At 36.2% G+C, this 15,326-nt stretch overlaps 1 protein-coding gene across 6 annotated transcripts in view; it reads left to right on the forward strand.

Annotated features, from left to right (window-relative positions):
• SDCCAG8 (SHH signaling and ciliogenesis regulator SDCCAG8) overlaps positions 1-15,326 on the forward strand; it is a 244,051-nt gene that overhangs the window by 155,598 nt on the left and 73,127 nt on the right. For all 6 annotated transcript variants that reach the window (NM_001350249.2, NM_001350251.2, NM_001350248.2 and 3 more), the window contains 3 exons: positions 4,064-4,191; positions 6,330-6,438; positions 14,789-14,920. In NM_001350249.2, the coding sequence (NP_001337178.1) occupies positions 4,064-4,191; positions 6,330-6,438; positions 14,789-14,920 (369 nt within the window). The remainder of the gene's footprint in view (positions 1-4,063; positions 4,192-6,329; positions 6,439-14,788; positions 14,921-15,326) is intronic.

Raw genomic sequence — 15,326 nt, forward strand, 5'->3', positions numbered from 1 at the left:
GTCCCTTAGTGTTTACTTTTCTTGAATGGCCTGTGAATGACATCATAATATATGTCTTTGGTGTCTGGCTTTTTAAACTACGTGTACTGCTTTTGAGGTTCAGCCAAGTGCTGTATGTGGCATTGTTCCTTGTTATTTCTACCCTTCCTAGCCATGGTTAGACTATACCACAGTTTATCCATTGAACAGTTGATGCACGTTTAAGTTGTTTCCCGTTTTGAGTGATTGTGAATAAATCTTTCAGCCCCATAACTACCAAGAAATTCTTTTTTACTCAGTGTTTTGAGTGGGAATTAAAGCAAACCAATTGGAGAGACTGGCTTGACCATCCTTCACCAGGCTCTCACACCCAGCTGGATTTGACTCTCATTTTGTTATGCTTTGGTAAATTTTCCCCTTATACCTTTCTTACGAAGTATTTTGCCATCTACTTTCTGTTTGGCCATTTTGAACTCCCTGCTAGGGGCAAGGAGCATGTCTTATCTATCTTTATTTGACCCAGTGCCTAGCAGAGTGCCTTTCACATAAGAGAGTTATGATAAATACTTAATGCATTGATTTACATTCTTCTCTAGTTGCTCCTTGAATGCCTACGTGCTTTTTATAATTTTTTCAATCCATTATCGTATTACCTCTAGAGCAGTGTGTCTGATCTTTTGGCTTCCCTGGGCCACACTGGAAGAAGAATTGTGGGCCACACATAAAAGACATTAATATTAATGATAGCTGATGAGCTAAAAAGGAAAAAACAAAAAGGCCCGTGCATAAATCTCATAATGTTTTAAGGAAGTTTATGAATTTGTGTTGGGCCGCATTCAAAACCATCCAGGCCGCAAGCAGAGTAAGCTGTCCAACTGGCGGCCCAGGACAGCTTTGAATGCAGCCCGATACAAACTGGTAAACTTTCTTAAAACATTATGAGATTTTTTTTGTGTGATTTTCTTTTCTTTTCTTTTCCTTTTTTTTTTCCCAGCTCATCAGCAATCATTAGTATTAGTTTTAGTGTATTTTATGTGTGGACCAAGACGATTCTCCCAGTGTGACCCAGGGAAGCCAAAAGATTGCATACCCCTGCTCTAGAGTATTATAAAATAGGATTCCCCAAATAAAAACATTTTAATCCTACCTCTGCCTTTAAATCATTCACTATGCAACCTATAAGCAGACTTCAAATTCTTTGTGACCCTTGGGGATTTTTAAGTAGGTTTTTTTTTTCCAACTGTAAAGTGAGAGGGTTTGATGAAACACATTTGAGGTTCCCTTTTAGTTCTAACATTCTGGGAATTTATAAAAAGCCTACCAAGTCAGAACCTGCAAGAGAGGAGAGAAGGCAACATAGGAAAGTGGAAGGGGAAAGGAGGTTGGAAAGCAAGACTATGTCATGTTTCTAGGCAATGAAACATAATGTATAGTTTCCCAAATAGAGGGAAATTTGGGGAAGGATTCGAGAAACATCAGTTGATGTGTAACTCAACATTTGTTGGTAGAAGTCTTTTAAATTGTTTTATTTTATAAAAAGGACTTCAATTATGACAGTAGTTCTTTTCTATAGTCAATTTATTTTTTATTTTTATTTATCTATTTTGAGACAGAATCTCACTCTATCACTCAGGCTGGAGTTCAGTGGCACAATCTCTGCTCGCTGCATCCTCTACCTCTCAGGTTGAAGTGATTCTGATGCCTCAGCCTCCCAAGTAGCTGGGATTACAGGCATGCACCACCACGCCCAGCTAATTTGTGTATTTTTAGTAGAGATGGGGTTTTGCCTTGTTGGCCATGCTGATCTCTAACTCCTGGCCTTAAGTGATCTGCCCACCTTGGCCTCCCAAAGTGCTGGGATTACAGATGTGAGCCACCGTGCCTGACCTATAGTCAATTTAGAATATCAGTAATTAGGCAGCTTATTCTAAAGAATGATGGTGAGATTGACAACCCCTTTACATTGGGGAACTGTAAGTACCAGTTTGTGATGGGTAGTTTCAGTTGTGACTGTTATCTTGGTATAATTATTAATAGTGCCCCTTTCACTTTCAGATGGGTATTGGTGTTGGAGAATGCATTTATGTCACCCAATTGTTAGGGGTTGCAGAGCCCCAGATTTCTATCTCTGGCTCCTGCCCCGGCAGGGGGTCTGACTTGGGGATGGTCTGACAGGGCTTTTTGTTTTTTTAGCTGACTCCTTTAGCAGCACGGTCTCCAGCTGGCAGAGCCATTAGAACCATTCTCTTCTAAGCACCTTTTTCTAACACGTCTGAAAAGTTTTTGCCTCCTCTCGTAAGACTTAAGCAGATTCTCCAGCTACACGTTAAGATAGCAGCCTTCCTTTCCCCTATGACAAGAGTATAACAACATCCAATCATGAAATATTCACCACCCACTTCCTGTGTGCCAAGCACTGAGGCTGGGCTGAGGGTATAGAGAGATAAAGATGACAAACGAAGCAGACATGTTAAACAATAACTAAAGTGTGATAAATACTATCTTTGTACGATGTACACAACATATATTGAGGTCATTGAGGGAAGAATAGTTAATTCAGGAGAGAGGAAGGAGAGGGGAAGAATTTTGAGTTAGGCCTGAAGCGGGTAGTTGTATGTATACATCTTACAGGGGGATTGAGTGGGCAGGTGGAGGGGCTTTCCAGGAAGAGGAAGAGACATGTGCAGTGATCCATGGCCAGAAAATACATGGTGTGACTGGGGAGGCAAAAAGTAGCCTAGTCTGACTATCCATTTGTTGTATATACTGGTTTGGAACCGAGTGCGACGCAAGACCTTGGACCACATCCCGGGGGGAGGTGTTGTTATTAGAAGTACCAGACAGGACCTTATTTCACATTTAGCATGGACCCCCGATGATTCCATTTGAGTGAGGTGTGGGTGTATTTTCATTCCAGAATTTTATACTACAACATGACCACATGCATTGACCAATTTTAATACAGGCTTTCCTTATGTTGCTTTATAATTAGAAGCCAGTGAATTGAAGTTCCACAGCGGTACATAGACTAGTAGTGATAGCTTTATGGAATTGTTTATTTTTAGTTTGGCAAAGGCTAAGCAGTAAATATCTCAATTAGTAAACTAAAGCAGCATGGATGAGAAATGCCCGCAAGGAGATCAGGAGTTAGAAATAACTAAGTCAGTTAATTGAAGGAAACCCTAATATCACTTACCCATATTTAGAGTTTGAAGAACCATTCTAATATGTGTGTGTGTGTGTGTGTGTGTGTGTGTGCACATGTACATGCACACACACACTGTCAGTATCCACAGTGCTGCCAGCATTGAGGTCCTTTGCATTCCCCAGGTTCTAATTGTTTAGGAAGTTTCTCTCTTTGGAGCCACTGTGCTTGGTTATTGACCCAGTGGGATAGGTCAGTGTCCTATCACAGTACGATGGGTTGTTGTCTGACTACAGAAGCTTTTCATCCTGCAATTTCTTTCAATGTGACCCACGAGGGATTTTATTATGAAGTGCTGGGGGAAGTTATTCGTATTCATATTTGTATTCATATTCACATTATATGGCCTGATGTGTGAAGATATTTAGTGAAAACATGAATGTGGCACTGCAGAATCATTTACTCGCCTCTAGATAGAGGCTCCTGCATTATATTTAAGATTCCATTTTAAGTTTAGAGTGAAAACAGAGGTGGTCTACAAAGCTTAGTTTTAAGAATTTAAGTTTTGTTCCTAGAGTTCCAGTATCTCTGGGAAAGATTGACCACTCAGAAGATGAAACATTCATTGATAGTGTAAAACATTAAGAATATTAGAGAAAAAAGTTTTGTGTTTTAAAGTTACAAAATACCATTATTTAGTTGTTATGATGTTTTGACACTGCACACTTTAGTCCATTTGGATTCATGGCACGTATTTAACACTGTATGGAAGGTTGTTTGGATCTTCCCCCTAAAGTGGGGGAGGGTCATTAGAAAGGTCCTTGTCTTCTTATGCTTAACAATTTACTACGTATCAGCTCTCTCTGGTCTATAGGGGACATGATGGGGGTTTGTGCATCTGCAGATTAAATTTCTGTATGTCTCCTCTCTGTTTTGCAGACAGGAAAAAGATAGCATTCAGCAGAGCTTTAGCAAGGAAGCAAAGGCCCAAGCCCTTCAGGCCCAGCAAAGAGAGCAGGAGCTGACACAGAAGATACAGCAAATGGAGGCCCAGCATGACAAAACTGGTAGGTGGTAGGGAAAGATTAGAGCCTGGGCACTAGCTCACAAGTCAGGCCCACGCCTTACTGTGAAATGACATCAGGAACACCTGTAACCTTTGGCTGGCCGAAGGGAGCAGATGCTAACTACACCGGAGATTCCGAATTACATATTAGTTAGCGTTTAAAAGAGAAAATGGAAAGTATTGCCCACTGTCTGTTGATTTCAGAGTGCTGCTCTCACATCTGTTGCACCATCTGGATTATGAGTTTATTTACCTGTGTTCAAGAAACGTAAAGCTGAGAGAGACCACAACAAAGTAGAAAAACAAAGGGCTTGTTTTTGGCTGGGTTTTCAGGCACACATGTTATATAAAGAAAATAGCATCAGAAGCTCTGCGGGAAATGCTCTGAGCTTACAGTTAGAGTCTCCTGAATAGCATTGAACAGTTCCCACAGTACACACATTATAGCTACTCTAAAAGCCTAATGAGTTTGCTTCAGCATCCAAACTGGAGAAAAGCTTTAGCCATTAATCGGTTCTTAATTCACTGTCGCAGCTGGATGTAATTCAGTGGCTCCAAATTGATATGTTCCTTTATTTAATCTTTGCAGCTTCGAACATTTTTAGCATTTGTATGATTTCCCCACCTCCCCCAACCCAATCTAGAGTGATGTTTAATCCTTTGCATTCTTCAAGTTCTCACAACTGCTGTTAAAATTCACTAATACAAGGCACTGACCACAGCTGGCAGCTTGGCTAAAAATTGCCATCTTTCATCACATTGGCACTATTCTGCAGACTGAGTTGGCCAGTAACTCTTTACCTTTAATTTGAAAGTAAAATGCACTTTGAAAATAGACAGTTTGATTTGTTCAGTCAGAGCATTATGTAGTTTCTTTCACTTTTGAGTTGTGTGTTCACAGACAGTGTTAGTCAAAACAAGACAGTGTCAGTCATTATAATTCCACACCACATACTCCACACTGATTGTACTATTAAAACAAAAGTTTAATTGATCCTGTCTCTTCCAGAAAAATGTTGCTTAATTTTAGTGCCTTGATTTATTTTGATTTGTATGCTATATGCTTTTTGCCAATCATTGGCTAAAATTGAAAAGAAATAAAGGCCTCTTAAAACTTATGCTTAGAGGTAATTTTCATATGATTTAATGTATTAATATATTGTATTTGATGACACAGTAAGAAATTATTTCTTATCCTATGGGTGAAAAATTGCCAACAGGCAAGTCATTAAATAATCTATTTACTTATGAAGAGGCAAATGTCATATTGACTCACATAATTCCCTCTATCACTTTCAGTAGAGATTTTCTTCCAACAGCATTTGGCCAGAAGAAACGAAAATTCACCAGGTTTAGTAGAAGTTTTTCCTCTAAAAACAAAAAGAGGCAATTGTAGGATAAATTATTGTTTTTGCCCCCACTGCTAGCATGATCCTAGTGATCAGAGTCTTGGGCAGAATCTAAGCACTAGATTAGAATGTATTTAACTGTTAAAACCGCCTTAAGAACATTTCCTTTTGTCTTGTACACACATACACAAAATCACACTGTTTTCAATTTCTTTGACCAGATCTCCATTGAAGCTCATGCTGTTGACAATGAAATTAAAATTCTAAAGAAAATACACATTTTTACCTTCATAATTAGAGAAGTGTATGCAAGATTGGGGGTGGTGGTGGTAGTAAACCATGTGTGCAAATATGAAACAAAGCATGAATTACAGTGTAGAAGAGAATTCCTCGATGATTTTAGTTTTGAGTTATCTGGTTGTGATAATTTTTGACACTCTGTTTATAGTAAAATTGTCAAAATAAAAATATAATATCTTGCATATTGCAAAGATATAAGCATCTATTCTTCCACTTGAGGTATTTGACACTTTATTAACATGTTAAAATGTTACACCAAGCTGGTATGATGAAAAATGTTTCTGGTGTATAATTATGTTGAAAATAAATGACTCCCAAGATTGAGTGTCTTTCCAGATGATAAGTCCTTTGACTTAGGACATTGAAGGTGATCTAGTGGCTTATTGGAAATGTGTAGGGGTCTAAGCACTTTACCACTCTATGTATGGAAGCACTGCAGAGCGACAACCATAAACATCTTATGTTGGTGGGGGTTTATTGTTATTTCTAGAAAATGAACAGTATTTGTTGCTGACCTCCCAGAATACATTTTTGACAAAGTTAAAGGAAGAATGCTGTACATTAGCCAAGAAACTGGAACAAATCTCTCAAAAAACCAGGTAGGTGATGTTATAGAATACTTTCAAGAGCACTGTTTGTGTGATTACTCTAATTTTTCCTTAAAAAACATCATTTGCACTGTTTTATAGTCTAATGTCAAAATTAGGTATCTGCTGATGTTTTCTTTGAAAATATTTTCTACATATGGACATTTTCTTAATTGTCTATACGCTTTTATGTTTTTTCATGGTTATGTGTATGTACTATTATTTGACATTTCAATGTTTAGAATTGAAAACTGTGAAATTTCAGGAAAGAAGGATCAATATGGTAATAACATAAACATGCAGATAAATCAAGCAGTTATAAAATCTTACATAGGTATGGTTAACACATTTTAATCTATTGTTACAATTCACCATGAACACAAAAGCTGTCTTTAGGTTAAATGATAACAGATGAAATGTGTATATATAAAAATGAAAGTAGATGGTACTTTGAAATAAATAAACCAAAACTATTCTTCCCTTCTCCTAAAATTGTTATATTTTAATAGAACAGCCATCATTCATTTTATAGCATACTACTCTTTTATAAATCCATTGATTGGAATCTTAATGACTTTTTTCTATACACTTTCTAGTCAGATTATCTCAATGAATAAATTATTTCATATTCTAAACTGCAAGAAGCCCGACTCCCCATCTCAGCTCCGACAGTAACTGAATAATCTTGGACAAATGTATTTGACCTACTTGGACTATAGTTTCTTCTTTTGTAAATGAAAGACATTGGACAGAATCACTTTAAATTGAACTATAGAAGGCAATATTCACATAACTGATAAGATGTCAAATACTACTTTATATGATAACTCAATGAAAAAATTGCCTGTGTGTCTTCTTTTCTGCATTTTTCTGAAACTCACATAGATCTATTGAGAGCAGGAAATATGGCTCAGCAAACAAACTACTGACCTAGATGTTTCATTCGGGAAGGATTTCTGGGAGTATCAGGGCATATCTGATCACTCTGAGCTCCATCTTGGAATCCTGCATCAACAAGCTGTCTTAGCTGATAGAACCCCCATCCCTGAATCTTTTGGGGAATCAGAGGGCTCGTGCATCCAACTCTCCCTGCTCACCAGGAAGGCAGAGGCTCCTGTAACCACCAAGAATGTACTCTGACATGCGCACCTTCCTAGCGTATACTAAGATTGTATTTTGGTAGGGGAAAACCTAGGTGCCAAAATACCAGATATTTCAAGGAAATTTGACCAAGAAAACCAAATGATTTTGTCATGAAAGAGACCCATAAAATATCAACAGTAGCTATTCTTAACCAGAAATACTTGATTTGCACCACATAGATCCAAAAGTAATTTGTTAGAAGCAAACAAACAAGATTGTATCATTTAGGGATAAAATGATATCAATCTGGGTTTTATATAAATGTATTAGGTCTAAAATTGGTTTGTGAATGATTAGTGATCTTGCTCTCCAAGGAGACCTAATTAGGGAAATTTATTATATAAAAGAGACAAAAAGGTGCTTGGTATGTTATTTAATTCTCACCACAACTTGAGGCAGGAATTATTATCTTCCAGATAAGGAAACCAAAACTGTTTAAATAACTGGTGAGTGGGAGAGCTACGGTTCTAACATAGGTATTTCTGGTTCCAAAGTATACGTTCTTTCTTATGGTAATTACAGTATTTTACATCTATTGCTAAAGAAAATTCAAGCCACAGTAGTTATGATGAGAAAGTTTGGGAAGGAAAAATTCACCTTTAAATTTCCGTGGAGAAGTAAGCGTCCTTGGCATGTAACGGTTAACTTACTCTGTGCCCCTAGGCCCTCTTTTTCCTCCTCTAGATCTGTCATCTTAGCCTGTACTGGTCTAACTCAGAACCTCTATTGCTCCTCCTGCTTCTCATTCCTCCAGCTCCTGAACAGTACTTTGTAAATTGGATGTATTCTTTTGTATCTGACATAGATGGCATTTAATGAATAAATGATGAATGAATGAAACAAATAGGTGTGGTGCTATTCGCACCTCCTGATCTGACTTCTGATGCCAGTCTGTCCCATTGTTGATGGCTGACAGTGTGCAGTAAAGAACACATGGCAATTCAGAGGAACTAGGTTTGAATCTCACTCTCCCACTTGGAGCTTTGTAACCTTGGGTACATGGCCTCATTTCCCCAAACCTCAGCTTCTCCTTCTGTAAAAACATTTCTAAAGCCACACTGCAGGATTGTTATGGGAATTAGAATTGTGTATATAGATACGCATACATACACGTATCAAGTGCCTAGCACAGTGCCTGACACATAGTAATACACAGTAGCTGCTATTATTTTCACTGGTGGCATTTTTAAGGGTCTTGACTGGTAATTTGGGTATCACTTTACATAGCTATTGTCTTTGCCAGGGAAAGTCTGACTGTCATTTTCCGACGGACATAAGTCTATGCCACAATGAAAGCCTTTTTAAAACAGCCAGATCAGGAAAATGTGGATCTAGTTGTATTTTGTAACTCTGATGAATTAAAGCAGGCACCTACTCTAAGTTTACAATTTGACTCAACCAAGGCCTGGCAAGTAGTAAACACTTGATAAATTGTTACTTACTATTTTTAAAACTCTCAAGCGCCCCTAAAACTTACGAAAAGTGCATTTTGTGTGCCTCACAAGAAGGTAGTGAATAGGACAAATTTTGATTTTAGGGTTGTTTGTTCTTAATTTCTTTTAGTTCCAGTTTCATTTCTCCCTGGCTTCTTACTATGACATTTTCAATAACTCATTCATGTTAAGTTTTACATTCCATTTTGATGTTACCTTCTGCTTTGAAACCACCTATAAAACTTGAAGGGCTTAAACTGCTTCTTTTAAAATACAAATTATTAATGTAGTAAACTCTGAAGAAGCCCTCCAGGAGTGTGCCTCTGCATACCCCATGCCAAACTATTGGGATAAATAATTTTCCCTGTGCTTTGAGGTAAGGAAAATCTTGGAGTTTCTAAAGTTTTGTCATTGTGGAAACTCAGTCTCCAAATTTATACTTATGCAATCCATATGGTAATTTTGGTCCAGCTTTTCCTCAGAGTATTACAGTAAAATTCTTCTTGAAAAGTAAGTGTATTTATTTTGTATTGAGCAATAATTAAGACATATTTTTCCTTCCTCTGTTACTAGCAACATTACTCTAAGAGTCTTGTTTTTCAAAATACCAACTAAACAAATAGATTCCTACCATTTAAAACAAGATTTTAAACTCACAGATCTAGTCATTTGACTGAAGCCCATGCAGAATGACGGGAAAGCTGAGAGCATGGGCTCGGCGTGCACGTACGCCCTTACTCTCTGCCCCAGCTTCATGCTAGGCTGCTCTGTTGCTCTGTGAAAATGTTTTGAAATGGTACCTCCGTGTGTGTGTCTGTTGTATGTGTTTTCTCCCCAAGGAGACCGTAAGTCGCATTATGGCAGTGACGACTGCTTCTGTTTTCTGGAAGCCTCCATAGTGATTAGCACAGTAGTTTGCGCGCTCTGTGTACTCCACACTGCACGTAGTGGTGTCTGTAACCCCGGGGTTTGTGAATGGCACGTCCCATTTTAAAACTTAAAATGAACTGCCGATTCTGTGCATGTTGTATAGCTTGTTTTTGACCATCAGGCAAGAGAATTAATTCCATTTTGCTTTTAATTGGCACCAGGCAGACATTCTGGCTGATTTTAGTTGAAGCTCACATAAACTTTCGCTATCCTTCCTTCTGTATTCCCCAGTACTCTGAGAGCTTATTATAGTTATGGGGTTGTTTTTTGAAGGAGGTAAACGGAGCTATTTAAATATCTTCGGTACAACTGTGATTTTTCTTTATCAAAGTGAAGGAAGTGTTCTCTCTCCCCACGCGCTTAGATGAATCAGCAGTAAAACGTTGCAGTGCGGTTTGCAGTGCTATCTAACACCTGGCCTGGGAGAGCTGGAAGGATTGGGTGCTGGCAGGGAGTGAGCCTCTGCCAGCCACAGAGTGGAGAGAAGTGTGTGCTAGGTTTTAGCTTCCACCTCTTGCACACTGAAAAGAACAGGATAGAGCATAGAACCAGGGTCTATGTGGTTTTGCTTCTTTCTTTTCTGTCATTGTCACTTTCTGGGTTGTGAGGCTTGTGGACTGATGTCTAACACTGCCCATTGTGTATTTGTGATTTGCGTTTTGTAATTAAGAGGAACAATGGGAGTCCATGGGGTCTCGTTATATATAATGGTTGGTTTAATTTGTTTCACTTCTATCTTGTTAATTGTAAATTGATCATTAAGATTTGAATTCTAATCTGTCACCAGGGTTGTGAGTATTGAGGCTAGAGCAATGATCCCGGTTTTAATCACTGATGATGAGAAACAAATTTTATAATTTTGGTACATATTGCAGTTCATATATTTTAACACTATACTTTATGGTGTTATAAATATTGTTAAATGACTTTTAGTGTAGTTTTACTGTGTGGACTATAATGTGTAAATTATATTACTGTTTTGGCAACAGTAGGTATCCAACTGTGTGAGTTTAATTGAGGTGAAGAACACACACCCGGTTGAACTGTTTTTTTCCTTTGCATGTTTAGATGATGTTAGGTTGGGATACTATAAAAATTATATTTTCTACAAGAGGAGACTGATATTGGCCTCTGCTAATTGTTACCAAAAGTCAAACTAGAACCTAAAAGAATAAAAAATTAAGATATTGTATTTCCCTTTGAAAGCAATTATCATTTTAATCCGAATTATAGTAGTAAAATATATTTCATGCAAATGCAATTATGCAACATAACTGGTATATAAAAATACAGGGGAAAGTTCATGCTTCTGTAAAGCCAGAAATTGCCTGAATTTTCTATGAAAATGGATTAGAGTCAATTATCCTTTTATATGACACAGGATAATCATGCCAGAAATGTATCTCCTAACTAACAGAAAACTTGTAAGTTTACTCTTTGAGCTTTGCAAACTACTAGTTCTAGGAACATATCGTGAGCTGCAGACAGAAAAAGGATGATGTGCAGGCATATATGTCAAATTTTTATTGAAAAATGGAAGTTGGTAGGCAAATTACAATTATAAACAAAGAAAAAAACAAAAATGTGAAGCAGAAAAAAAGATTGTTGCAATACACACTTGATAGTGATGTGTACTTTATAAATAACATTTATATTTTTGGGATTATGTAAGACATCCTCAATGCAGGGAATTTGGAAAATACAAAGAAGAATTAAGGAAAATTTCCTGTGCCACTACCAGCTAGAGATAACTATTCTTACCTCTGATATATTTCCCTTCAGTCATTTTTCATGTGTATGTCTGTGTACATTTATAGTGTGATTGAGATTATACCGTATATACAGTTTTGCGTCTGCTTTTTCATTTGATATCTAATGAACATTTTTCTATATCAGTAAATACTCTGAAAACAAAACTTTATTAAATGATTTGCGTGTATAAGAATTATTAGGCTTTTAAGATGCTTCCAATTTTTAACCGTTTATGAATAATAATACAACAAAAACTTTGTACCTAAATCTAAATTTTTGATTGTTTCCTTAATTGCTGGTCCAAGACGATTAATCCTTTTAAGGGTGTTGATGTGTTTTACCTTGCTGAAGTACTACACTAACTTCTAATAACTGTATATGTAGCCATATTAGTAAATAACATTACAAAGAAGTGAGATTTTTTTAAAAAAGCATGAGAGGCAATATTGCACAGGTGGGTGGAACCACCCCTTTAGAGGTGGACTAAGTAATATCTGGGCTTGACTACTTGGATGACCTTAGGCAAATTATTCAACTTCATGTTTACCTCACAGAGAAAAGAAAAGAAACCCTTACAAGTACCTTATAGGATTAATTGAGATCATGAATGTAAAGGATGGATTTCACTGTTTGTTATACGGTGGCATGCAGTAAATATTTGGTGGTAGTATCTGGTTTTGTTGTGCTATTTTTTGAATAATAGTGAAATTGAATATGTTATAAATGGTATTGATCATTTGTGTTTCTTCTGTAGATATTTTCAATATTTCTTATACTTTTTAATTGGAATTTTGATGGAGAGTGCAGTTAGTGTTTCATTAAATTATGCTTTTAATGTTTGTCTTATTTTTGTAAATAATTTCCTGTTGTTTACATTGATTTTAATTAATAAGCTTTATTTTTTAGAGCAGTTTTAGGTTCACAGCAAAACTGGACAGAAAGTACAGAACTCCCATATATTCCCTGTTCCTTCCACACACAACCTCCCCCACCAGTGACATCTACATTTTGTTTTATTATGATTTTTTTCAAAATCAGAATGAATTTATTTAAAACAAATAAAATACATATCTATTTTAAAAATTTAGAAAGTATGGAAAAGGATGAATACAGAACAGAGAAAACATTCCTGATCCTACCATCCAGAAATAACCAATATTAATAGTTGGTATGCATGTCAAAATATTTTTCTAAATTATAAAATGAAATCACATTACACATGCTGACTTTTAATGTTTTCTCTTTGTTACTAATATGTCACAGTTTTAGATCAATAAATATCACTTATAAATAGCCACATTATCAGAATAATAAGTAACATAACCAAGCTCCTGTTGATAGATTTCTTGGTTAAGTTTCCAGATTATGGGTTGCAAAGAAAGGTTGTTTCTAGAAACAATGCTACAATGAATACTCTCACACAAACCTATGATATATTTTAAATGTGATTTTTTTATGCATAAAAGTTTTGTATTTTTATATTGTAAAATCTATTTTTTTCTTTGTGATTTTTCTTTTTAAAAGTGCCTTTTGCTTGGAAAGTGCCTGGGAAAAGATCAATGTTCTGCATTTTTTTCTAATCTGGTTTAAGGATTTTTTTTCTTCTTTTGAAATTTATTTTAGTGCATGGTATGATAGGAGATACTAATCTTGGAAGGGATACCAGATCAAAAATTTATCATAACTGCCTCTAAATTCTTTTGTATTGTATGTGATTCTGAAAGGAGAAACGTAAGTCATTATTAACTCCTTTCGGACTATTTCAAATATGGGTAGATTCTTATTAGGAGAAGCAAATGTAGATTGAGCACTTGATCTGAACTTGAAAATGAGATAATCCATGCTCTCATACAGAATATGGTAGGAAAGACAAGGCACAGAGCACAATTTAAAAGAATAAATTATAAGCTAATGTATGCATAAAGGCTAGAGGTAGCTTCAAAAAACGTGCTGACATATTGAGAACTGCAAGGTATCAATCAGGGCAAGCTTCCTTTTGGATGACATTTGAACCAAGATGAAAACAAAATGAAGAATGAGGTGAACTAAAAGCAAGAGTTTTTGCTCCATACACGTGAGCAGCCTGGTCCTTGGGATGAACAATTTGTAAAGTAAGATTTCCCTTAGCAAATCCAAATCCTTTTCTGACCAGGAAGAAAAGGCTATCTTGCCTACTGGAAGAATTCTTTCTTTGAAGGGAATTAATTTTATGTCAGGAGTCTTCAGAAAACAATCCAATCATTAACCTGAAAACGACTCATAATATACAAGAGTTTTAAACTTTCCATTCTAACTGATTAGGCATTAGGGCATGAGGAGATGGTGGCAGTAGGCAGTAATTTAGAGTTTACTTAATACAAGGAAAGGAATATAATTTTTCTTGGATAAACATCTTTCTGATCTTCAAATTTTGAGACTTGGATTGTCATCTAAGACACGAAAAACAAGATATTCCCATTTTGCTCAGGGGAGGTCAATCTTTTTTCTATTAAGACCTTCAGTGGATTGGATAAAGCCTGCCTGCATGGACGGCAATCTGCTTTTCTCAAAGTTTACTAATTTAAATGTTAATATCATCTAAAAAGCACCCTCACAGAAATGTCCAGAATAATGTCTGGCCAAATGTCTGGGCACCATGGCCCAAAGAAGTTGACACATAAAATTAACCATTAAAGAACTATTTTTATTTTAACTGTGTGCCATTAAACTGGTTATGTTAATTAAAAGAAACTCTGTTATAGAAATTAGGCCTAGGGTTTCTTCTTTGACAGCATAGTGTTTGGCCTATAACAAGCACTCAGTAAGTATTTGTTAAATGAATGACAGTCTTTTAAAAAAGAGATTTGATCATTATCATGTTTGTCTTATTCCTTAGGGAAGCCATTTCTGTTAGAGTAAGTTGTTATTCCTTTTTCTGTCTAACACATGAGTCTCTACAATGTATCTTGCCATTTCTGAAATATTTTCTTTTGCAAAGGATGTAGTTTTCATTATGCTATCATGTTTAAGTGTGGAGTTTAAGATAATGTTAAGGTTATATAATAACAATATGCCCTAGTAATAAGAACTTCTAACATCTATTATTTTTGTGTTTTCACCTCTAGATCTGAAATAGCTCAACTCAGTCAAGAAAAAAGGTATACATATGATAAATTGGGAAAGTTACAGAGAAGAAATGAAGAATTGGAGGAACAGTGTGTCCAGCATGGGAGAGTACATGAGACGATGAAGCAAAGGTAATCAAGGTTTCATGTCAACTCATGTGCCGCATATTGAATGTGTTTGGTTTACACACTGAAGGGGAATTGCTGCGGAATAAGTAGAATTCATCATCATTATGCTACTTGTGACATGCTCAAAATCTAATACTTTATTTTATGTATTTATGCTTCCTTAATTTAGGTTGTTCTTATTATATACAAAGAGGAGAGTACATCCTCTTTTTGTTATTCTCTGAAGACATAGAATTAGATTTAACATGGAAGAATGGAGGAAAGCCATTTTCCTTTAAGGTGTAAGTTGGTAATATTGTAATATGGAGGAATTTCAAATTATCTCTCCTAGAAATTAGATTTTATATGCTTTTTGTAAGGTAAAGCACATAGTAGGTCTAAAGAGGTTAAACATCTTATCAGAGGTTGC

The sequence above is a fragment of the Homo sapiens genome, chromosome 1, assembly GCF_000001405.40.
Source record: "Homo sapiens chromosome 1, GRCh38.p14 Primary Assembly".
NCBI classification, from domain to species: Eukaryota; Metazoa; Chordata; class Mammalia; order Primates; family Hominidae; genus Homo; species Homo sapiens.